General features: G+C 47.9%; 1 long non-coding RNA gene across 3 annotated transcripts in view, besides 3 other annotated features; it reads left to right on the plus strand.

The window, feature by feature from the left end:
• The window catches only part of LOC105375070 (uncharacterized), a 107,357-nt gene that overhangs the window by 9,921 nt on the left and 73,112 nt on the right, over positions 1–24,324 (plus strand). The window contains exon 3 of one of the 3 annotated variants that reach the window (XR_926833.3): positions 14,356–14,631. The exons of the other annotated variants lie outside the window; for them this stretch is intronic. This is a non-coding gene — a long non-coding RNA (uncharacterized LOC105375070). Of the gene's footprint in view, positions 1–14,355; positions 14,632–24,324 lie in introns of those variants that run through there. 3 annotated transcript variants of the gene reach the window in all.
• Positions 513–807: a silencer, noted in NCBI's record as "tiled region #5169; K562 Repressive DNase matched - State 8:EnhW". NCBI's record gives its function as "represses a minimal TATA promoter and a strong SV40 promoter by Sharpr-MPRA in K562 cells {active_cell/tissue: K562}" and the evidence as "EXISTENCE:reporter gene assay evidence [ECO:0000049][PMID:27701403]".
• Positions 10,025–10,074: an enhancer, noted in NCBI's record as "active region_24619". NCBI's record gives its function as "activates an Ori minimal core promoter by ATAC-STARR-seq in GM12878 lymphoblastoid cells {active_cell/tissue: GM12878}" and the evidence as "EXISTENCE:reporter gene assay evidence [ECO:0000049][PMID:35858748]".
• Positions 10,195–10,254: an enhancer, noted in NCBI's record as "active region_24620". NCBI's record gives its function as "activates an Ori minimal core promoter by ATAC-STARR-seq in GM12878 lymphoblastoid cells {active_cell/tissue: GM12878}" and the evidence as "EXISTENCE:reporter gene assay evidence [ECO:0000049][PMID:35858748]".

Raw genomic sequence — 24,324 nt, forward strand, 5'->3', positions numbered from 1 at the left:
ATCTTCCATCTCTGTCTCACCTCCCAGCCTTGGAAAACACTTATATTAGTAATAGGCACTAATAATGATAACAAAGGCTGCCCTTTGTTGGGTCCTGGGCATAGCACGTAGATTCACTTGTAATCTGTACAAGTGCCCTGTGAGAAGGGTGCATATCACACCCCCATTTTACCAGAGGAGAAGGGAAGCTCAGCTCACATCACTGCTCAAGATCACACAGAGCAAGAGGCAGAGCAGACTTGACCCTGGTCTGTACCGTGTCAAAGTCCATGCTTTTTGCCACCATGGGTGATGGGCTGTGTGCCTGCTGTTTCCCCACCACAGTGGCTCAGCCAGTCCTCCAGAAAGCTTTCAAGGCTTACCACATCCAGCCCATGTCCCCCTCTGCTTCCTCCCCTAGTGAGAATCTATTGGCCCTGAGCTCAGCCAGGCTGGATTCATCTGCCACCACCCTGGGCTCTGTGTCTGCAGGCTGCTTCTGCCTCTGTGCAGCCCGGTGGCTCCCTAGGGGCAGGGCAGGGCCTCTGACTGGCAGGGAGGAGGCACAGAGATGGACAAGATTATCCTCTCAGGAAAGCAGCTGCAGAAAGCGCTGTTTCTCCTTCTGGGAAGGCTTTATCTCAAGCTAGTGCTCCTTTCCTCCTTGTGATTCACAGACCTCTCATGATAGTTTGAACGTGTCTTGTTTCAAGTGTTCAAATCTAAAGACTTCCATCAGATTCCTGACCGCGGCTTTTTCACAGTTATTATCTGTGTCATAACATTGCATACTTGCGGCTTATCATTTTCCAAGCTCTGCATACGGGTTTGGCAGAGCAGGTTTCACTGATCCCACTAGACAGGTGAGGAAACTGAACCCTAGAGCAGGGAAGTGACACATCTAGAACACGGCCAGGCTTGGTGGCTGAGGCCAGCTCTGCCGTCACACACTTGGCTCTCCCCGGTGCTGCTTTCTTTGCTGCCTCTGCTGTGTCTGCATCAAGGAGACTTTCTCCTCTGAGGCTGGCTGGCCTTGGAGTTATACTTTGCGCCTAGCTGCTTCTTCTATTTTTTTAAAGATGTGTTTTATTGAGGTAAAATACATGTAACAAAATGTACCCTCTTAGTCGTTTTTAAATGTACAGTTCAGTGGTATTAAGTACATTCACATCGCTGTGTAACCATCACTACCATGCATCTCTAGGACTCTTCATCTTGCAAAACTGAAGCTCTGTATTAAACACTAACTCCCCATTCCCCTCCCTCCAGTCCCTGGCAACCACCATTTTACTTTCAGTTACTATGAATTTGACTATCCCATGTATCTCAAATAAGTGGAATCACACAGTATTTGTCTTTGTGTGACTGGCTTATTTCACTTAGCATGATGTCCTCGAGGTTCATTTATGCCGTAGCCTGTGTCAGAATTCCTTCGTTTTTCACCTGGGCAACATAGTGAGAACCCCCTATCTATAAAAACAAAAAACAAAACAAAACAAAACAAAAAAACAAAAAGAAAGAAAGAAAAAGAAAAGAAAAAAGAAAAAAAATTGCTGAGTGCGGTGGTGTGCCTGTGATCTCAGCTATTCAGGAGGCTGAGGTGGGAGCATGGTTTGGGCCCAGGAGGTTGAGGCTGTCGTGGGCTGCAATCATGCGATGGCACGCCAGCCTGGGCAACAGAACAAGAGCCTATCTCAAAAAAAAAAAAGGAATTTCTTCATTTTAAATATTTTAAATGTTAAATAATCTTGCTTGTCCTTTTATCTATTGATGGACCCTTGGGTTGCCTCCAGCTTCGGGTTATTGTGAATAATGCTGCTATGAACATGGGTGTACAAGTATCTCTTTGAGACCTGGCTTTCAATTCTTTTGGGTTTACGTATACACCCAGAAGTGGAATTTCTGGATCCTATGGCAATTCTATTTTTAATTTTTTGAGGAACCATTATACATATTTTCCACAGTGGCTGCACCATTTTACATTCCCACTAACAGTGCAGAGTGTTCCATTTTCTCCATATTCTCTGCTTTCTGCATAGTAGCCATCCTGATGGGTATGAAGTGATATCTCATTGTGGTTTTGATTTGCATTTCCCTAATAATTAGTGATGTTGAGCATCTTTTCATGTGCTTATTGGCCATTTGTATATCATCTTTGGAGAAAGGTCTACTCAAGTCTTTTTGCCCATTTTTGAATTTTTGTTGCTGTTATTGGGTTTTAGGAGTTCCCTATATATTCTGGGTATCAATCCTTTACCAGATATATAATTTGCAAATATTTTCTCCCATACTGTGGACCACTTTTTTACTCTGTTGGTAGAGTCTTTTGATGCACACAAGTTTATACTTTTCATGAATGGCCCTAGTTCTTGATGCTGTGCATGTGGCTCCTTCATCTGGGGTTCTGAAGTGACTCACACCTACACTGCTTCTACGTCTGTCTCCCTGTGTTTATCTGGATGACGTCACCCACCAGGCAAAGAACTCGTTAAGGGCCAGCACCAGCATAGGGCCTGGCATGTAGTGGGTGCTCAGCATGTGTTCGGTGAATGGGTGAATTTGACCTACGTGTGATAACAGATGATTTAAGCTGGGGGTGGGCAGGTGGGAGAGATAAGGAGGCCCCAGCCCCATGCGGAGAATGGGCACATGATGACCTGCCACTGCCATACAGAAGGCGGATGGAGAGCAACATGGCTGGAGCGAGGGCCCTGGAGCCAGAGTGCCAGATTCCAAACCTGGCTCGTGGCTATGCAGCCTTGGCAGGTTACTCAACTCTCATACGCCTCCGTGTCTTTGCCATCTTTGAAATGGGAATAATAATGTTATCTAGCTTAGAAGGTTGGTTGAAAGGATCAAATGACATGAAAAGCACTGAGGACAGAGCTTAGCACCTCATAAACACTGTGCTGATGCTGGCTGTCATTATTATGATGTTACAGTCTCAGCTCTTTGGGGGCATAGAATACATTTTCTACATCTCTTATGGCCCAGCACCTAAACACAGTGCCTGATCCAGAGCTGGCACTCAGCCAGTATTTGTTAATCAAATTAAATTGTCTTTTGTCGTGCAGGCAGTCCTTCCTCATGCCACCCTCAGTTTCTTCTGTTGCAGCTCTGAGCCCCTATCAGTCCTGTTCTCCGGCATCCTGCTGCACACTGGGTCTTCGTCTCCCCCTGCCCTGCAGGGGCCCCTAGCAAGGGAAACTGCTGGTTCTCAGACCTTCATGAAGGGCTCCTGGGGCTGGGCTGGGGCAAGGGCTGAGTGAGCTGCGGCAGCAGGTTTGTAACCTCGAATCTGGCCACACTTCGTCCATGTGAACAGTCACTTCTCCAGGTGTGGACTCAGGTGGAGGTGGCAGGTCAAGAGGAGGGGCTGGAGGAGGGCTGTTGCTCTCCCCTTTCTTTGTCCTCTGTGTCCCCTGCCCCAAGTCACAGAATCATGGATTCTCAGGGCTGTTCTGCTCCCACAGAGGGGCCCAGGACATTCTGTGTCTGTTCTCCTTACACCTTGCTGGCTGCCTGGTTCACTCTTGGTATCAGGGGATCAGAGAGAAGACCATGAGGCCTTCTGTAGAGTGCTGGCCTTGTCTTCCGTCACAGTCTCTCTGATGTGATTATTTTGGCTGGTTCCTTGGCATCGTTGTTACTCTCAGAGGCACCCTGGAGCCAAAAGCCTTGGAGCAAAAGCGGGAGACATCCCTGATCCTTCGCTGCGTCCAGTGGCAATGGGCAGACTCCTGCGGAGGCCCCACTGTCCTCCATTCCCTGGTCAGTTACTATGAATTTGACTATCCCATGTATCTCAAATAAGTGGAATCATACAGTATTTGTCTTTATGTGACTGGCTCAGTTCACTTAGCATGATGTCCTTGAGGTTCATTTATGTTGTAGCCTGTGTCAGAATTCCTTCATTTTTTGCCTGGGCGACATAGTGAGAACCCCCTATCTGAAAAAAAAAAAAAAAAAAGAAAAAAAAAGAAAAAAAAAGAAAAAGAAGAAAGAAAGAAAAAGAAAAGAAAAAAATTGCCGAGTGTGGTGGCACACATGATGCTGCGCATGTGGCTCCTTCATCTGGGGCTCTGAAGTGACTCATGCCTACACTGCCTCTACATCTGTCTCCCTGTGTTTGGTGAATGGGCAAATTTGACTTACGTGTGATGACAGATGATTTAAGCTGGGGGTGGGTGGGTGGGAGAGATAAGGAGGCCCCAGCCCCATGCAGAGAATGGCACATGATGACCTTGGTTTATTTAAAGTGGAGTGCTGCCATGGCCAGCTGTGCCCCAGGGGTGCCAGGCCTACACAGGCCTAGGCGGTCAGCTGTGCCCTCTGCCCAGGGCTCAGCCTTTACTAGGTTTCTGATGTCCTTATGCTCTGACATCACCTCAGGTCCTGTGACTTACCCCCCTCCCACTCAGCAGGGACCTTGTTCTGAAGACTTTGGCCTTTTCTTGGATGCTCTCGGGCAGTGTGGCAGGTGGTGTCAGGTGGCAGTGGGTGATGGGGAGGCTTGGAGGCTGGCTGGGGGCTGGGGGTGGAGAGGTACCACTTTGTCCTGCATGGCTGGCTCTGGGTGTAAGTGCAGTGAGTCACACCTTTCAGGTAGTGGTGAGGAGAGAGGGCAGTGCATGGACCTTGGGTATGTGTGGGTGTGGGGTTCACACCCCATATGTTCCCATCTTCTGAGAAGTCTAATGGCTGATCTGCATCTGCATGTACTGTGGGACAGGCTTGCATAGGACTGTGTGACTTGTGGGTGTGAGTGTGGGGATGTGAGGATGGGGGTTACATGTGCCTGTGGATTTCCAGTGAGTACACCTGTCTTAGACCTGAGGGATCTGGGTCTGTGGGCAGAGGTAGTGACATGCCATACAGGGCCAGTGGGAGTGTGTGCACTCGGTGAGTGTGGGGTGCGTGGGGTTGGTCTATGGTGGTGATGGGATAGGTATTGAGTGTGATACTGGGCTTGGGGGTTGGGGGTGAGTAGAGGTCACAGTAGAGAATGACCACAAAATTTCAATGTACCTTGATCTGTCTTTATTTTAATTTAAGCTCGGCCTCTGCCAGGGCTCAGGTTGCTGGGTAATTGTTGGTAGTAGGGGCAGAATTTAGGGCCTGAAGATGTCCTTGGAGGAGGGAGACATGCCACCTTCAGCAATGGTGCCTCAAGCAGTCAGGGTCAAGCTTGGCAGGTGGGGATGTAGGAGGTGCCAGGGAGGTCAGGGGTAGTGGTGCTAACATCCTGGCCTCTTGTCTCTGTGTGTTTCCAAATGACTGTGTGTGTGTGTGTGTGTGTGGGACATGTTTTGTGTCTGGTGTGTTTTTATGTATACCCATGAGAGCCTGTGATGTCTCTACATGTCACTTTTGACCTCAAATGTGTGTGACCTCAAAAGCGACTCAAATGTCTGTGTCTTCATGTGTGTGTATCCATGAGTGGTGCCACTGTATTCTATTTTATTTTTTGACTGAAGGAACATGCCACAGTCACATTTTAAAAATTGTACAAACAGAAACAACATTCTAGAACTAAATTTCAACAGTCACTGGTATAAATAAATGCCTTTGATATATTGTTCAAACCTAATTTCCTTAAGCGACTAAAAATATGAATTTTTTGTAATAATTTATTTCTTCTAATAATAAAATGAATCATATTGTGATCAGATGCCTTTATTATCACCATCTGAAAATAGTATTTATTTAATTATTCATTCCCTTTCTTCCCCACTAGGATGTAATCTTTGTGAGGGCAGGGGTTTATTTATTTATTTATTTAAGAGACAGAGTCTTGCCCTGTTTCCCAGGCTGGAGTGCAGTGGTATGATCATAGCTCACTGCAGCCTCCTGGGCTCAGTGGACCCTCCTGTCTCAGCCTCCCAAGGCTGGGACTATAGGCACACACCACTGTGCCTGGCTAATTTTTTGGTATTTTTTGTAGAGATGGGGTCTTGCTATATTGCCCAGGCTGGCCTTGAACTCCTGCCTCAAGCGATCCCCCCACTTCAGCCCCTCAAAGTGCTGAGCCATTGGCTTCGGCACTCTGTTCACGAAGAGGCATGAGCCACTGCACCTGGCAAGGGCAGGGATTTTGTCTGTCTTGTTCATGATTGTCTTCCCAAGACATGACCTAGAATAATGCCTGGCATTAGAAGGTGCTGAATAAATATTTTTAGTATAAGTGAAAGGGAAAGTATTTCTGAGAAAATGGCATTTAAGTAGAGGCCTGCAGGATGAGTAGGCGTTAACGAGCCAGGAAGGGGTGAGGACTGTGCTAAGCTGCAGGGACAGTGTGTACAAAGGTCCTGAAGTGCGAAGGAGCAGAGTGCATTCTGAGGAACTGACAGGTGGCGGGTGCAGCTGTGTATGTGTGTGTGTGTGTGTGTGTGTGTGTGTGTGTGTATGGCTTTCTCAGTCATTCGAAGGAGGTTTGAAAGTTGCCAGAGAGTTTTAAGCAAAGGAGTGACATGATTACAGTCATGTTTTAAAACATCCCTCTTGCTGCTGGAGGAGGCTGGATTCTGGGGCGGGGGTGAGAGTGAAAGCAGCAGGGCCAGGTAGGGATCTCAGGCGAGAGAGGGTGATGGCTTGGTCCAGGGCAGCTTCTATGAGGCTGGAGCTCCAAGGATAATCAGGAGTTTTTCAGCAGGAGACTTGGCAGGGTTTTGGTGATGGGCGAGGTGTAGAAGGAGTTCGGAAGGGAAGGAGAGGGAGCTGCTGGGGATGATTCCGAGATTTCTGAGTTGCTTAATTGGCTGGATGGTGAGACCATTTATGGGAATGGAGAATTGATACTTGCTAACGACAGGCACTTTACTGGCTGCTTCGCTCGCCCGGTAATCTTCACGGTCCTCTGAGGTGGGGCAGATGAAAATCCACAAGGAAACAGGGGCTCAGTGATAAAGCCTTTGCTGCAGGACTTACAATTGGTGCGGTGAGGCCCTCCTATCCAATACCATCAAGGCTTGTAGTTGGTTAGTTTGACAAATGATCATAAAGAAAGAAAACCTGTACAATGTAAAGATTTCATTTTAATTGGAGCCCTATGGATGTGCTAACATGTGCCAGCATTTTGATGTATGAATGAAGCCTTCCCCTGGGCACAGGCCCTCCTGTGCCATGAATGGTCTTCTGGCATAAACTAACCCATTATATTCACTTCTTTGGGTTCTGGTTTTGGTTTATTTAAAGTGGAGTGAGAACTTCCTGGCTCTTAAGAACCAATCAAGGGTAGATTCCTTCCAGAATAGGCCCTCCACCCTGCCCGCCAGCACCATTCTTTATAGTCTGTCTCTTCTATGCCTTGCTCAATGGCAATTTTTTCAGCTGTTTCCTGTTACCAAACTCTTCCAAAGTGTTCAACCTGGATTTTTAAGAAAAGAAGAAAACTCTTTCTTTTCACATCATATTTCATTGTTTTGTGTCATATTTTATTAAACTGCATACTTACAATAACAAGCACAACTGGCAAACAGGTTTGGGGACAGAAATAATGGCTTTTGGGACATGCTTGATTTGGCTGGTGGGAGCAGAAATGGGCAGGCACATTGGAGAGCACCCGGCTGGAGCCCTCCATGAGGTGGGCCTCTGTCTGAAGGCTTCACAGGGGGACTGAGGGGTGATGGGTGAGTCCCTAGGCGAGGCCAGTTACCAAATGTCAATGTGGGCGAGTCAGAGAGCTGTCCTTGGGTGATACTTTCTGTGAAGTTTTATAAGAAGCTGAGTTCTGCATTCAGTATTTAGTACACATATTTGGAGCCCCCAGTAATCGATACGAAATGCTATCAGTCTTTAAGTGCTCAACACTGATTAGGTTTTAAAAGTATATTTTGTACCATAAATAATTAGATCTATATTTAATGAGCAGACCTAGGGCACAGGGTGGTGGTTCCTTCTGGAACTTAAGATTTTCCCAAGCCAAGCTCAGGAAAGGCAGGTAGGTATGGCAGTTGGAGTGGGAGTGGCTGACCCAGATGGCCTCTTTGTTAATCAGGTGTCTGTACTTGCCTAGGCCTGGGGCCTGTTCTGAAAGCCAACTTTTTGGCTTCAAGGAAGTTCTATTCCTAAAGAGAGTGAAGGTGAGGTTCTCTGGAACAGCAGAAATCTGGATCCAGATATCAGGGCTAACAGGGTGTGTCCTGTCCTCCAGCCATGGAGGCAGCAGGAGGAGGTGGATGGCGCCTTCTCGATGACCACTTGGCCCAAGGCAACACAGCGGGTGGGGACCTCACCTGTGAGGACTTGCTAGGGCAGAGCATCTGGACTGTTCTCAACTGGCTCTGGGGACCATTTAATCTTTCAGAGGGTGGGGGAAGTGAATGGAAGAAGGAGGGATTGGTTGGAAAAGCTTCAGTGACAGGGCAAACCTGGGCTAAAGGCAACCAGCTGGTCTTGATGGAGTGCACCTGTAGTCCCAGCTACTCAGGAGGCTGAGGTGAGAGAACCACTTAAACCCAGGAGTTCAAGTCCAGCCTGGGCAACATAGTGCAACCCTGTCTCTAAAAAAAAAAAATTTAAAAATTAAAAAAAATTTAAAGTGGACCTGTTCTGTTATTTGTAATCGAGAGGGAAGGGAAGTCATCAGTTTAATTCCTTCGAACCATAATTTATTGAGTCATTGTGTTAGGCTCTGGGAATACTAAGAAAAATAAGACACCATTCCTGCCCTCAAGGAGTCTAGTCATGGAGGCAGATACCAAGATTGTTTTTATGACAGCCCACATCAGTTGGGAATATATTTGGTATCAAGCAACAGAATACCCAACAGACAGTGGCTTGAGCAATAAAGACATTGATCAATATCACATCACTGGAAGTCTGGAGGCAGAGGGTTCCAGCTTTGGTGAAAGGATGACATCAATGATGCTATCAAAACTCAGCCTTTTTCTATCCTTCTGCTCTGCCATCTTCAACGTGTTAATTTTTGTCTCCATGCTTGTTGCCTCCTGGTCACAAGATGGCTGCTATGGTGACTCCTATAATTATATTCAAGGCAGAAAAGAAAAAAGCCAAGGAGAGAAAGGGGCTCTATTTTTATCAGGGAAGAAACGTGTTTCCCAGATACCCCCTCTGAAAATGACCTCTCATGTATCATTGGGCACAACTGAGAGGAAATGCTTCAGGGAGGCTGGGAAACTGAGGGACTAGCAAATAGGAACAGGATGCTGGTGATGTCTTAGATGAAGCTTGACTCATCTTCTGGGCCTAGATACATTGTCACCCGAAAAGGTGAGGTTCTGGTGGCAAGGAAGAAAGGGTGGAGCAGAATCACTGTTAGGTAGGATGAGCAGTGCCTGCCTTGTGTGGTAAGAGCTAGGATAGGCTCAGGATGCAAAGAGAAACCAGAGGAGCAGAGTTGGCCTAACTTGGGGGCTCAGGGAAGGGTTCCTGGAAAAGGTGGCTCCTGAGTGAGTTTTAGAGCAGCTGTATCAAGAACAGTTGCAACGTCATCCTAGGTAGATTGACAGCAGGAGCAGAAGCAGAAATAGACATGTGAAATAACCTAGTATGTCCAGGAAAGTGAGCACAATTAGATATTTAGTTAAGTGATGGGGAGAGAGAGAGACAGAGAGAGAGAGAGAGGAGGTGCAGGTGGAGAGGGGAAGAAACCAGGCCACGGTGGGCTTTGAAAGTCATGCTGTCAACCTTGTCTAACCAATTTATCCTGGCTTCTGCCAGTGCAGGGGCAGGGCTGGCTGTGCAATTTAGAAATATTACTCAATGCTGGTACAGAGATTGGGTGGGTGGGAGAGGCCGTGAGAAGCTCAGAGTGCAGCAGGGAGACCAGCAAGGAGGTTCTTGCAGCCATCCAGATGAGAGCTGTGGAGGGCCTGGAACAGACTTGGGCCTGGAACAGACTTTCCAAAGTCAGACTGCCAATATTTCAGCAAAAAGACAGGCAGGGTTCCATGCCACGAATCTCTGGGTGGGATAGCTGTCTCAAGAGGGCTGGGAAGCTCTCAAAAATGTACATGACACTGTGCAATCCCACACAGGGTAGTCTGCGTCCCAGTAATGAAGGAAGAAGGGAGGTGACCACAGAAATCAGTGTGTGGCAGGAGAGCTCTTTGCCAAATTGCTGTGTTAAGGAGGCTTGAACAGAGAAGGGAAGGACAGATGTGAGACAGGACTACGGGCCTGTAAAGAGAGTTTCTGGAAGATAAAAATAGGTAGAGGTTTGTGAAAGATGCTAGGGGCAACCCAGGCTTGTTTAGCTGTGATCATAGCCAGTCAAGATCAAGGGATCCAGAGGCTGCAGTTGGGCCTGATGACACAGCACGGGTGGGGAGTGTACGAAGAGTAGGGCTCCTTGCTGCCCCCTGGCAGGAGAGCAGCCTGCAAACCCAGAGGGCAGCAGTAGATGACACAGAGGCCCAGGGAGCCCTGGAGGTGGGATGGGCCCTCCCCTCTCCACTGCTGCTGGGGTGTTCAAAGGGCCTCTCCCCATAAAACAACACTTGGGGCACAAAGGAAGCTTGTGAACCAGACTGCTGGGGCCACTTTGTCCCACCTGAGAAAGCCAAGAGCACGGGGGCCTTGAGAAGGGAAAAACGTGGTTCTGAGTTTTAAAAAGAGTCCTGGGCAAGGATCCTTGTGGATTATGGAAGGAGTAGTTAGTGAGCATTAGAAAAGTGGGAAGCTTCTGGATAGCTGGAAACATGGCCGTTCCTGGAGGGCGGTGCGCCCAGGGAGGGCATGGAAGCTCCACGTCCTTCCTGCATACCTTGTCTTACGCATCTGTTCATTGTATCCTTGGTACCCCATGTCTGAAGGACATAAAATGATCTTGACACCTGAAACATCCATGCTGTCCCGGGTGATGTCAGAAAAACACTCTAATGAGGACAGCAGTGCCCAGGAGGGTTCCATAATAAAATGGAAATGGCTTATACAGAATCATGCAACCTGAGGAATGTAAGGAGGAGATATGAGCAGGGAGCCTCATTACACCCTAGGACTGACTGTGGAACTGTGTGAGGAGCTGTGGATCCTACAGTGCTCTCAACTGACCAGCAAATAGCTGCTTGGTTTGTGGATGGCAGTTCCAAGGTAAATGGACAACCTCCTGTTTGGAAGGCTGCTACTATGATCCAAGAAGGTAAAAACTAATCAGCTTGGTGGGCTGAATCACATGCTGCTTTCCTAACAGCGATGGAAGAATTGAACGATGCCAGAAGCCCCTGTGGTTGGGTTTTTACCGACTCATGGGCATTGGCCAATGGCCTGGCCAGATGGTTAGGCAGAAGGGCAATAGAAACCTGGCTTATTGAAGAAATGCCCTTACGGGGCATGGCCCTGTGGAAATCTGAGGGGTGCCTTAAAGTAGAACATGTCAACGCCCACTAAGAAAGCCCCTCTCCATGTTTGCAAGGTGACTGGAATTGACAAGCAGATATCTCTGTTTCTTTGAGGTGTTCACCTGGGTCCTTGAAATGAGCAGAGATGGGGGTGCAGAGAAGGGCTGGATCTAGACATGTTCCTTTTGTACCCTCTCCGGCACAAACTGCTAATAAGACTGTTCTGTTTGTCAGCAAGAGAGCCAGAGACTGCCAATGGCTATGTGGCCATTTCCCTGGTGGGAAGGCCCTAAAGAAAGCTGGCAAGTGAGTGGTACCCTGAGGGGCTACAAGTGGGTCTTGACAGAAATAGACACTGGCTCTGGAGTGGACTTTGCTTACCTGGTGGAAGATGAAAATTTTTAGAGTGCCATAAAAAAAAAAAAAAAAAACCAGAACAGAAAATATCGCATGGATTTGGATGGCCAACCATCCTTTTTTCAGACCAAGGAACACAGTGTACAGCCCATAATATCCAGCAATGAGCAGATAGCTATCCTCCTCAGAGTAAGAGTTTGATAGAGAAGTGGAATGGGCAATTAAAACATCAGTTGCTGGCCGGGAGCAGTGGCTCACACCTGTAATTCCAGCACTTTGGGAGGCTGATGCGGGTGGATCACTTAGGTCAGGAGCTCGAGACCAGCCTGACCAACATGGCGAAACACCGTCTCTACAAAAAATACAAAAATACAAAAAATAAAAAAATTAGCTGGGCATAGTGGCACACACCTATAATCCCAGCTACTCCAGGGGCTGAGGCAGGAGGCAGGAGAATGCTTGAACTCAGGAGGCGGAGATTGCAGTGGGCCGAGATTGCACCACTGCACTCCAGCCTGGGTGACAGAGTGAGACTTTGTCTCAAAAATAAATAAATGAAATAAAAATAAAAATTGGTTTTCTAAGACAAAGTCGAGATGAAAGCACGCAGGGCTGGCTTACATGCCTTCACAAGTGCGTGCTCACCTCAACATGAGTGGGACTGAAGAGGCGTCCCCACTGGGTTTTTCTCTGTTTTTCTGGTTGATCTGGGGAAGATGGGGCAGGGAGGATGCTGGTATGACGATGCAATTCTTGCCAAGGGAGGAGTACACTGGTATAACGACTATATATATTTTTTCTTCCCCAAATCACCTTAAAAATTTTTTTCCCCTGCCTGATGCAGTGGTTCTAGGACCAGGGCTGCAACCAAAAGTGCTGGAAGCAGGGATGATTTCTAAGCAAGACACTGTCACTATGCTTTTAAACCTTACATCAGAATTCTTAAGTGCCTAATGGGGGAGGGTTGTGCCTTTACCCCACCTAGCAAAAGTGGGGCTAAGAGTGAATGCAGCTATATTGCCTGGTGGTAAAAATAGCTCACCAGTTCTGCACCTATGTAACTTTACCCTATCTGAATGGGAGCGAACTGAGGAGGAAGTACTTGCTAAGCTTGTATTGCTGCCTGCAAACTAGACTAGCACAGTGGCGATTCTAATGTCCCTTCCAAAGGTGAAAAAGTTTGGGTATTAATGGAGAGAAGGAGAAACAGTAGCTGAGGGTAAAGGAATGAACAAATGGGTTATAAATGGAGGGAAGTCCAACATTACATTAACACCTTCAAAGAGACTCAGAGCAAGTGACGACATTATTGCTTAGCTCAATTATAACAGATGCCCAAAAGGTGAAAACGATGTTTGCTGAGACCATTCATGCTTTTGGAACCTGACAAGATTGAAAGGAAGCCTACAAGCCTGAGTGGCCTCCCCTGGGAGACATATTCGTACCTTACAATGATTGACTGGACTAATTACTAATGACTGAATGGGATTCTCGCAATGTGGCAGTATGTTTCTTTTTTTTAAACTAAAAGTAATTCCCAGAACTGAGCAGATGTGGCAGTATGTTTTGAGTTGTACATTCTTTTGATGTGAAGGATTCATGTTTGAAAACAAGGGAATGGCCTGTGATATTACGATTGTGTGTGTGTGTGTGTGTGTGTGTGTAGGGTTTTGTCCATGGTTCCTGGCTCATAATTCCCATAGCTTTTGATACAATCTTGATACAGACATAGCCTTTGATACATGGTTGTCATAACATGGTTGTCATAATGTTGGGGTGCTTACAGAATCTTGCTCTCTAAATTTCTCCTGTCCTCCTTTTACCTGCCCAAGGCAAGACTCTAATCTGATTGTAGGTCAAAAGACCCTTATTCCAGAGAGGGTCCTGCCCCATCCTCTGGAGGAAAGAATGCTGCACAGAGAGGCCAAGAAGAATCCAAACAGACAGGCCCTGCTGGGTTCCTACTCTGTATGTTAGTGTGAGATCATACTCTTTTTGTCCAATCATATTTCTACGGAGTTGTCAGTCATGCCTACGTAATGAAGCCTCCATAAAACTCCAAAAGGACAGCATTCGGAGAACTTCCGGATAGCTGAACACGGGGTTCCTGGAGTGTGGCCAGCCCAGGGAGGGCATGGAAGCTCCGTGACCCTCCCCACATACCTTGCCCTATGCACCTCTTCATTGTATCATTTGTAATATTTTTTATGGTACATCAGTAAATGTAAAAAAAAAAAAGACAATAGAAAAGGAAAGAGGTCACCAGGAGCCAGCATGGGCTCCCCACAACTAGTTGTGTCAGGTCAACTGAAAAAATAGGAGTGTTGAGAAATAGATAAGAAATATCCATTGAATCAAATTCAAAAAGCACAAAAGGTATACTATGAAAAGTCTTCCTCTCACCCTTCACTCTTAGCCAAACAGTTCCTCTATATGAATCTGTCTTTCTATATATCTATCATCATCTATCATCTATTTTTAATCTATTATCTATTTATCATCTAATCTTTTTCATCTATCTTTTCATCTACCTATTATCTATGATCTATATAATCTTTTTCATTTATCATCTATCTATCTATCTGTCTATCTATCTATCTATCTATCTATCTATCTAATCTAATCTACCTACCTACCCTTTAAAAAAACAAACTGTAGCATATTTTCCTTGCCATTTAAAAACTCTAACTTTCCTTTCCTCTAACAATGTGTCTTGAAGATTTTTACATAGCAGTGCATGTGAAGCTGCCTCATTCTTTTCATGCTGGTGGAGCACCGTGGTATAGATGCCTCATCATGGATTCAACCAGCCTCCGAAAGTCTCCAGTCTTTGTCTCTTATCAAGATTTCCACAGTGAATAATGCATCATTGCCGACACACAGGGAGTTGTCAACAGGGTTGTATGTCTATATATCACTTCCCACGTGGTTGATACATGTGATATGTATGTGTTTCTGTAGAATAAATACTCAGAGGTGAAATTGTTGAGCCAAAGAATGTATGTGTGTTTAATATTTACAGGTATTGTCAAATTTCCAAATTTCATAGAAGTTGTGGCCATTTTTGAATGTCTGAGGGGGTCTTTTTCCCTATATTTTTGCTGATGGTGTGAAAAGAGAGTAAATGAAAATAAGGAAGACCAGGGTCCAAGGACAAGCCATGAGGCATCCCAGTGTTGAAGAGTTGAGAAGCTGGAAAAAGCCAGCAGGGGAGGCTAAGGAGGAGCATCCAGGGAGGAAGGAGGAAAACCAGAGAGTGTGATGACTTGAAAATCAAGTGAAAAAACCTTTCCATAAGAGAGGGTGGGCCAGGTGCGGTGGCTCACACCTGTAATCCCAGCACTTTGGGAGGCCGAGGCGGGGGGATCACAAGGTCAGGAGATCGAGACCATCCTGGCTAACACAGTGAAACCCCATCTCTACTAAAAATACAAAAAATTAGCTGGGCGTGGTGGTGGGCACCTATAGTCCCAGCTGCTTGGGAGGCTGAGGCAGGAGAATGGCGTGAACCTGGGAGGCGGAGCTTGCAGTGAGCCGAGATGGTGCCACTGCACTCCAGCCTGGGCAACAGAGCAAGACTGCATCTCAAAAAAAAAAAAAAAAAAAAAAAAGAGGGCGGCCAAATGTGACAAATGGTGCCAAAAGGCCAAGTGGAATGAGGACTGAGGATTGATCGTAGGACTGGTACCTTGACCAGAGCACTTTCCAAGAGTGGTGGGGGTGAGCACTTGACCCACCACTAGCTAATGATTCCGACGAGGGCCTAGATGTGATTCTGTTCCCCCTGGGTGGAAAAGCGAGCCATCAGTGAGAGAATCAGGACTCAGAAGAACCAAGACAGGTGGCCACGATACAAGGAAGAATAGAGGACACAGTGATACCAGGTGACATTTCCAGGTCCCAAATGCCAACTACATAATGAGAGAGGGTAAATGTACCTAGTGCAAAAGACTTAGAGAATTTTGACAACTCCCTGTGTGTCAGCAATGATGTGTAGTAATCTGAAGAGCAAGGCAATTATAGGGTGGGTTAATGGACATATCGTATCCAGAATGAGAGAGGCGGTTGGCCCCCTGGGCTCAGCAGCAGCAAGTCCAAATGAGGGGAACTGGGTTCGGCTAGGGGACAGTAAGGTGGGAGACACAGTGGAGTCTGTTCAAGGAGCACACAGGGAGTTAAATAATTGTAAAGGAGGCTTCGTGAGAAATGGGTAAAGAACTAGAATGTTGAGCTTGGAAAAGAATGGACTTGGGGGACCTTCTTTTGCAAGAAGAGCTCTTCTAGGAGGAAGGGACTTAGGTGGGTTGTGTGTCTAAAAATGGTGGAATGCTGGCCAGTTGCAGTGGTTCACGCCTGCAATCCTAGCACTTTGGGAGGCCGAGGGGGAGGATCGCTTGAGGCTAGGAGTTCGACACTAGTCTGGACGACATAATGAGACCCCCGTCTCTACAAAAACAATAAAAAATGATGGGACAAGGCTGAGTGGAAGACGGAAGAAGACAGACATTGTGCCATGCCTTTTCCTACATTTATTTGTGAATTCTATGTGAAAATTTGTAATCTTTGAGTATTCCAAGCCATTTCCAACCCAGGTGTGTTCTCATCTACACCTTGTTGAATGCCTGAATCTTAAGTCTTGAGGAAACAATGCCTCCTCTAAAATCCACCTGAAGGAAATGAGCAACTTCTAATTTGATCACTAATCAGCACAGAGGAGGCTTATAATGGTGGCCACAGGGCTGGGGACTTGGCCTTCCCTGCGCTACCCTGTCACTGACTTGGCAGACAGCGTGACTGGCTGGCTCCTCACATCGCCGCCTATCCCTGCTCCCAAACGTCTGGGCGCTCAGGGAAAATTAGGAGGGAAGGGAGACCTGGCTCCTGTTCTCAGAGAACAGGACAGGCTCTAGGAGCTGGAGCCGGTGTGGTGATTATATCCTGCGCCAGGCAGAAGGCAAAGGGCAGCCTCCAAACTACACTTCCCGTAGCACTCTGGGTCAGTGCTGTCTCATAGAACTATACTGTGAGCCATATCTCTATTTTAAAATTTTCTAGAAGCCTCATCAAAAAGTAAAATGCACAGGTGAACTTGCAATCAATATATGAAAACTTGTTGAGATAATTTACATTATTTTTCATGCAAACACTTCACAATGTGGCATGTATTCCACACCAGAGCATGTCTTGATTTGGGCCAGCCATGTTTCAAATGCTCAACAGCCGCGTGTATGGATGGTGGGGTCTTGGTCAGTCACCTGTCTCACTGGTCCTCCCTTGCATGAAGGAGCCAGGGCTGCCAGTGGGTGTGCAGAGACTTGATGTCACCAGTCTAGTCTGTTCTACTGGTGCCCGCCCAGCTGTGGAAGGGGCTCCTGGGGATCCACAGGGGTGATTTGCTGAGTGCACATTTCTGTCTGGGAAGGGAGCCCATGCCTGTGTGTGCCTGCTGTTTTCCAGTTATGGTAAATATTAACGAAGCAGTGGGAGCCAGGCCCTCCAGGAGGCCTGGGCTCCCCCACGGGGAGGAATGGAGATAATGCTGTGTACCTTAGATAGGGCTTTAAACCTGGCCTCTGAGGCTGCAGGGTTTGAGCTGCCAGGGAAACATGGGCATGACTTTTGTTCCCAGGACCAGGATTCCTTGCTGGGAGATTCTCAGAACCCGCAGACCTCAGGAGTGCCACTTGCCTCCACATTTGCAATGGCCTCACCCCACTTCTTACAGTCTCCCACTCACAACCCACCCTCTTCACTTAAAGAGCTCTTCTCTCCAAATCCACTTGCCAACAAGCCAGCTCAGCCAAACTTAAGGGGATGGGAAACAGATTGGGTTCAGATGATTTCTTTAAAAAAGAAACCCAAACCAATAAGCACGTACTGAGCGCTTGCAGACGCTGGGCTGTCACATACACTTCCTCCTTCTCGCAGCAAGCAGGGCTGTGGCTGTCACCCCAGCCCAGGAGAGGGACGTGAGAGCCAAAGGAGTCAGCATCACAGCCTGGAGACAAAGCTGGGATTTTGACTGGATGCCATCTAGTTAGCTATCAGAAAGTTCTCTCCAAGAGGGGAGAACACTAGTGTTTATTTGTATTTGCATAAACAAACACTGAAAAAATACGTAAGAAACTAATGTAAGTGATTACATGTGGTGGAGGGAATGGGAAGGTGGGGGGGGTGCGGGTACTGGGAGTGAGAATTCTCAAGGATAATTACTTTGATATTTGAACTGTGAGGATATATTACCTAATTTGAAAAACAAGTGAGATGAAATTTTAACTGTTTATTTATTTTTTCCTGGTAGATGAAGATGTTTTCAGAGTAAATGAGCTTGAACACCTAATTGAAACTGATTTGATATCCAGAATGTATGTAAGGGTTTTATTTTATTTTCAATAAAGATAATCCACTTACATGACCAAAAAAAGTGAGTTCTTTCTGGTCATGGCATGGAATTAGTCTTCTTCAACTTCTATGTTTGGCTCCCAGTTTCCAGTACGACGAGGAAAACCACCTCCTTCTATCACTCAGCCCCCAACTTGAGTGGGGAGATGAAGCTGTGTCCTCAGGGAGCCGCAGTCTGAGGGAGCCCCAGTCTGAGGGGAGACACAGCCCCATCCTCAGGGGGGTCCCAGTCTGAGGCGAGATGCAGCCTTTCTCAGGGGGGCCCGGTCTGAGGGGAGATGTAGCCCTGTCCTCAGGGAACCTCAGTCTGAGGGAAGACACAGCCCCGTCCTTAGGGGGCCTCAGTCTGAGGGGAGACGCAGAGCTTTGCCCTGAGGGAGTTCCCAAGCCCAGCTTCTCTGGGTCAGGTAAAATTAGTGGAGGGAATTCCTCTGTGTTCTGAAGCATCCACTTCCTCTCTGGGCCTGGCTCCCCTTCCCGTCGCAGGAAACCTCCTAAGTTCCCAGCCTATTCTGTGTGTCAACACTTGTTTCCCCAGAGTGCTTGTCCTTGGTCCCTGGAAGGGGTTTATGTGTTCTTCCTTGCCTTCAGCCTCTTCTGAAGCCAGGGAATGCATGTCCTGAGGGGCTGGGGGAGGCCTGTGCTGGCTTCCTCGATAGCTCCCCAGGACACACGCTCTACACCTGCCACTCTGAGGGCTGAGCTGGGCTGGGCTGAGGGTGGGCCAGTGTGCCAGGTGGTGTGGAGCTCTGGGGGACTGCCCTGCCCTTTGCCCATGCAGCGTGTGGGCACTGAGACTGCGGGAGAGCCCAGGGACTTCTCCCGGCTCAGGGATCACGTCCAGTGAGACTATCTGGAGACAGGCAGGAGGATGAGTGCGAGGCCTTCAATCCTTCTTGGAGTTCACAAAGTCATTGACCTGGGAAGGGAAGGGCATGCCAGGGCAGGGCAGACTGGGCACACTTGCTGTGTTTTCTTCTGAGCAGAGGGTGCTGCCTTCAGCCGAGATGGAGGGCCGAGCCCTAGCTCCAGCCAGGCTCCTCAGCACCCTTGAGGGGCAGCTAGTGGCCTGCAGTTACCACCACCTCCCAGGGAAGGGCCGTACCTGCCACTCCCCCAACTTGCATTCCCCTTTCTTCCCCCACTGGCAGAGGAGGGGTCCTAGGGGTCTAGACCAGGCCTGAGAGGCTGGAGTAATGTATGCGGATGGAATGATGGAATCTGGTTGGGAGACAGGTGGCAATGAAATGAACCCCTTTTTGGATACTCCCCTCTGAGCTCACCCACCCGTCAGTCTTCTTGTCTCCATTCTTGACCTCCTTCCAACCTGGCTGCGAAGGTGACAGGGAGACCCCAGCTGCCTGCAGGGTCTGAGCAAGGACCAGATGGAGAGAGCAGCCATGCTAGACAGAGTGCAGACTAGAATCTGTGATTCCCAGCACCTGAGAGTTAGAGAGGGAGGGATCTTGGGTCATCCAGTCCAATGCCCTCATTGGCCAAGTGGGGTAACTGAGACCCATAGAGGTTTTTCCAAAACATACTGGAGAAACCACAGGAGAAGGCCCAATGATGGGACCTAGAAAGCAATTTGCTGGGGTGATGTGGGAAAATGCCAAGGTCAGAGTGAGTGAGGTGGCAAAGGAGACAGATACCCAGTGGGATGGAGGAGGGGCTGGGGTGTTTGCCCAGAGTAGCAGGGCTGCAGGAAAAGAAAACGAAGCATTTAGGATTCTTGCAAGATAAGACCTCAGGCAACCCCAAGGGTCAGCGGTCAGCTGGTCAGCTCCTTAGGAATGTGGGCCAGTCAGCAGCACCTTTGACTCGGCACCCTTGCTCTATAGCCCAGAGTGATCTTGCAAAAGTCATTCCCCCACAGAGGTCTTAGTCTCTCCATCTGTAAAGGGAAGCCAGCACACAGCCTTCTCAAAGGACCTCCCATCTCCACATTTCTACATCACAGAGAATGACACAATAGATTTGAGATACTTTTCTCTGTTTGGCATTTCTCGCTCTCCCTGTGCCTCAATTTCCACATCTGTAAACTAGGGATAAAAATGATATCTATTTCTTAAGGTGGTTGTAAAGATTAAATGAGTGATACATGTAAAGCATTTAGTACAGCGCTCAGCCCACAGAAAGCTTTTTGTTTTGTTTTGTTTTGTTTTAGAGACAAGTGTCTCGCTCTGTTGCCCAGGCTGGAGTACAGTGGTGTGATCATAGCTCACTGCAGCTTCGATCTCCTGGGCTCAAGCAATCTTCCTGCCTTAGACTCCTGAGTAGCTGGGACTACAGGTACACACCACCACACCCAGTTAATTTTTAAAATTTTTAGCGGAGATGAAGTCTTGCTATGTTGCCCAGCCTGGTCTTGAACTCCTGGCCTCAAGTGATCTTCTGGTCTCAGCTTCCCAAAGTGCTGGGATTACAGGTGTGAGCCACTGTGCTCGCCCCAGAAAGCCCTTAATAAATGTTACTTATCATTATTATTTTTGGTAATTAAGAGGGCAGTTGATTGCTATGCAGTTGTTGATGGCTCGTAGTGGGTTTCTTTTTTAATGAATGAACTGAGACAAGGGCCTCCTTGGGGCATTTTAAGGACAGCCTGGCTCTAGGGAGGTCCACATCCTATTCCAGATGCCACCCACACCCAGGCTGGAGAGCCCAGAGAACAGTGAGACCTAGGCCTGGAAGCACCTAGAACCCTACTGCAGGAGCAGCAAGGCCACCCTGGTGTCCCCAGCCCAGTGTCTCTGGGCCTGGGTTTTGGGCTTGGGCCTCAGAGGGAGCATCAGCAGCCCCTACCCCACCTCCATCCAGCTGGAGGCACCCTACCATGAGGGTGGCTAGAGATAGGGGAACAGCGAGAGGCATCCTGTGGAGGGTTTTCAAGAGGCTGTCCTGCTGAGGGTCAATATTTGCTCAGCTCTTGGACTGGCGCAGTCTATCACTGCCTCTGGCCCCTTACATTCCGGCCATCGCACCCCTATCTCAGGAACGTGCTCCCATCAACTCGGGAAACCACGCCCGACATGGGCAGTGGTCTGCCTTGGTCAGCCACTGCTCCCACCCCCGTTCCCAGGCAGGAAACCAGAGGCCCCACGAGGGAAGAGGTTGTGTACTCAGGCAGGTGCCTGGGAGATGCAGGCCAAGCCTGGGAGATGCAGGCCAAGCCTGGGAGCTGGGCACTGCCCTATCTGCCACCCCTTGATGAAGCCCCTGCCTCCTTGCCAGCTGCAGCCAATGGGGCAGGGGGCAGGACCTCACCAGCTTCCCTCCTAGAATCCTTCTTAAATTAGATAATTATTTCAGCAAACATTTCCTAGGCACCTACTGTATTCCCAAGAGGATTCAAAAAGAAAAAAGACTCTTCCCGGGCTTTCTAGAAACTTGTACTCAAATAGATTTATTTCAGCCATGAATAATGTCTAGGACCTCACTTAAAGGAAAAGAATCCTGAGGGACCCCAGTGTTACCTTAATATTAGATTCACTTAGATCTCTGCAAACATGCAACCAAGATACAAAACACTTTTCATGTTCAGCTTACATACAACTCAAAAAGAAGGATCAATTTGCAGTTTAATTACAAAGAAAACAACAAACTGATTTCAAATGGAGGGCACACACTTTAGTGTGATGTCTCTTGCTGAAACCAAATCATCACTTGCAGTGTGAACAGTGTGCAGGCTTGTTCTTCTTTGAAGGGGGACCTAAGAGGAATTTGCTTTCACCGGACCCAATGCGCCATTTACATATTAAGTCCCACCCCTGCACTTTTCTCATTGGCCAGGACAACTGGCCCTAATGAGCTCATTGGGGAGTATGCTTAAACTCATTTCCTGAGGTTAGCTTGCAACTGAGAAAACCCTAGCCAATGAAGGTGGAGGCCTCGGGACGGCATTAATTCCAGAGAGGGTCAGGCTATGCCTTCCCCTTGGCCCTGACAGTGTCTAGAGCTCTTGACTTTCATCCATTACCTCATTTGCACCCCATTCAAACCCGGAGAAGTGGGCAGGGCAAGTTCCTTCCGGGGTTCTTGAGTCTTTTACTCTGCCTCTGTGAGGGAAGGTGTAATTTTTTAAATTTCTACTTTTACAAGAAGAAAATAATATATATTTTTATGTCTCCCTTTTCTCTATAGAAGGTCGTGTACTTTGCACATGGCTCCGTAACTGTCTTGAGTTAATTCCATGTCTTTGGAGGATGTTCACTAATGGTACAAAAAGAATATCCTGATTTTTTTTTTACAGCTGCATAGTATTCCATTGTATGGCTGATCTGTCATGTATTAAACCAGGCTTTCCTTGAGTTAGGTCATTTCCATCTTTAGCTTTTACAAACAATCCTGCAGTCAATAATCTTGTACATGCGTCATTTCGCACGTAGTAGGTACATCTATAGCATCGATTCCCAGACCTGGGATTGTTCCTCTTGCCAAGTTGTTCTCCACTGAGATTGTAACAATTAAACTTTCACCAACAATGCATGAGGGTGATTATTTCCCCACAGCCTGGCCCACAAAGGGCGCTATCAATTTGTTTTTGGATTTTTGCCAATCTGATAGGTGAAACATTGTATCTTAATATAGTTCTAATTTGGACATGCTTTTATGTACACGGCGTCTGGTTGGGATGTGGGGAATGCAGTGTTGTATTGGGGAGCAAAGGACTTTCTAAGGCCAAGCTGTTGAGGAAGGATCTATGCACCTGACCTCATTTGATTTAACCAGTGGGCAACTGGCCAGAGAGAGACTGGAACCACCCAAGTCATCTCCAAATTTAAAGGTACCTGGAAAAGTCACTCGGCTTCTCCTTGCCTGTGGATGGGTGGGGTGGGGTCTGCACATCAGCTTAGGGCGACCTGTCAGGACGTTGCGAGGTCCCTGGGGTCTCATGTCAGTGGGGAGGTTTTCCCTGAGACCTAACTTCCTCCACTAAAGATCATTCCATTCTTCCAGGTTGGCACCCTATGGATTGGAAGAATCACAAGATGGGAAATGCCAGTGAATGAATAGGTGCTTATGTCCCTTTTAGTCTCACTGGAATCACAATTTCCATGGTGTCCCTCAGAGACCACAGACCCCGTTGGGAAGAAAAGAAGGTTAATTTAACATGATTTATTCTCTGTAAACCCATTCTTGCTCCATGCAATCCCTAGTCTCTTTCCTGATACTCATTCCTCTAAGGAGAGGACAGAAGCCACCTGACCCTAAACCCTCAGCCTGGCATTGCTGAGGCCAGGGAGGCTTCGTGTAGGATCCTCTCCCCTGGGAACCTGCCTGTGTGTTTAAATGCTGGGTCTCCTTCTTTGCAAATTGTCAGTCTTTACAATTTGTTACAGGCATGGTAATATACAAATGTGTGTGTGTGTGTGTGTATTGAGGAATCTGGCATTTAGGGTCAGCTTCCAGTCTGAGGTCAACAGCACCCCAGACCCAGCTTGGGACCGCAGAGCAGCTTAGTTTGAGGCTCAAGGTCAGCATCCCAGAAACTCTGGCCTGAAGACATGGGCAAAAAAGCAGCTTCTCAGAGTCAAGAACATAAAACATCAGAGCTGAAGAAGTCTTAGTCAGTATCCAGCTCTTTCATTGCACAGTTGGGGAAACTGGGTTGCAGGTAAAGTGAAGGACTCACCTGAGGTCCCCCAACGAGCAGATGGCAAAGCCAGGCTGGGCAGGTGGTATCAGACTCCCAGGCCTGCCCTTGCTGGGTTCTCTGCCAGCAGACCTCTTTCAGCTGAGCACTAAGGGGTGGGGGCTTGGTCTGCAGCCCCAAAACAAGCCCGCATGCCTCCCTAAGTGTGGATGCCCAGGATGGGTGTTGCTGCAGCTGCTGCCCCCACAGCCCGGATGGCTGCCGGCTCAGGCAGGACCCCCAGAGGCCAGGGTGGACGAGGGGATACACAGGGCCCCCTCTCAGCGTGCCCAGATTTGTCTCCCGCCTGCTTTTAATTGCATGTAATAATCAGCAGAAGAACCGAGTCAATCCCTGGCTCCTTTCTTCTGATTCCCTTTTCCAGACATGGGGAGAAGGGGCAGGTGGAGGCATCCGCCTTCCCAGAAGTCAGCCTAATCTCTGCCTGTCTTGAGAAAGATAATGAGGATTGCTCTGAAGGGTGGGGACAGGGGCTTGCTTGCTTCTTTGGCAGGGCACGGAATTTCTGAGAAGCCCTTCCCCCAAGATGCCAAGCCCCAAGTCCAACTGCCAGGGCTCAGGGAAAGAGGAACCTGGGGAACTAGGCATGGAAAAGGGAAAACCCTTGGGGCGGAGATATGATGTGTCACTCAG

Source organism: Homo sapiens, chromosome 6 (assembly GCF_000001405.40).
Source record: "Homo sapiens chromosome 6, GRCh38.p14 Primary Assembly".
NCBI lineage: Eukaryota > Metazoa > Chordata > Mammalia > Primates > Hominidae > Homo > Homo sapiens.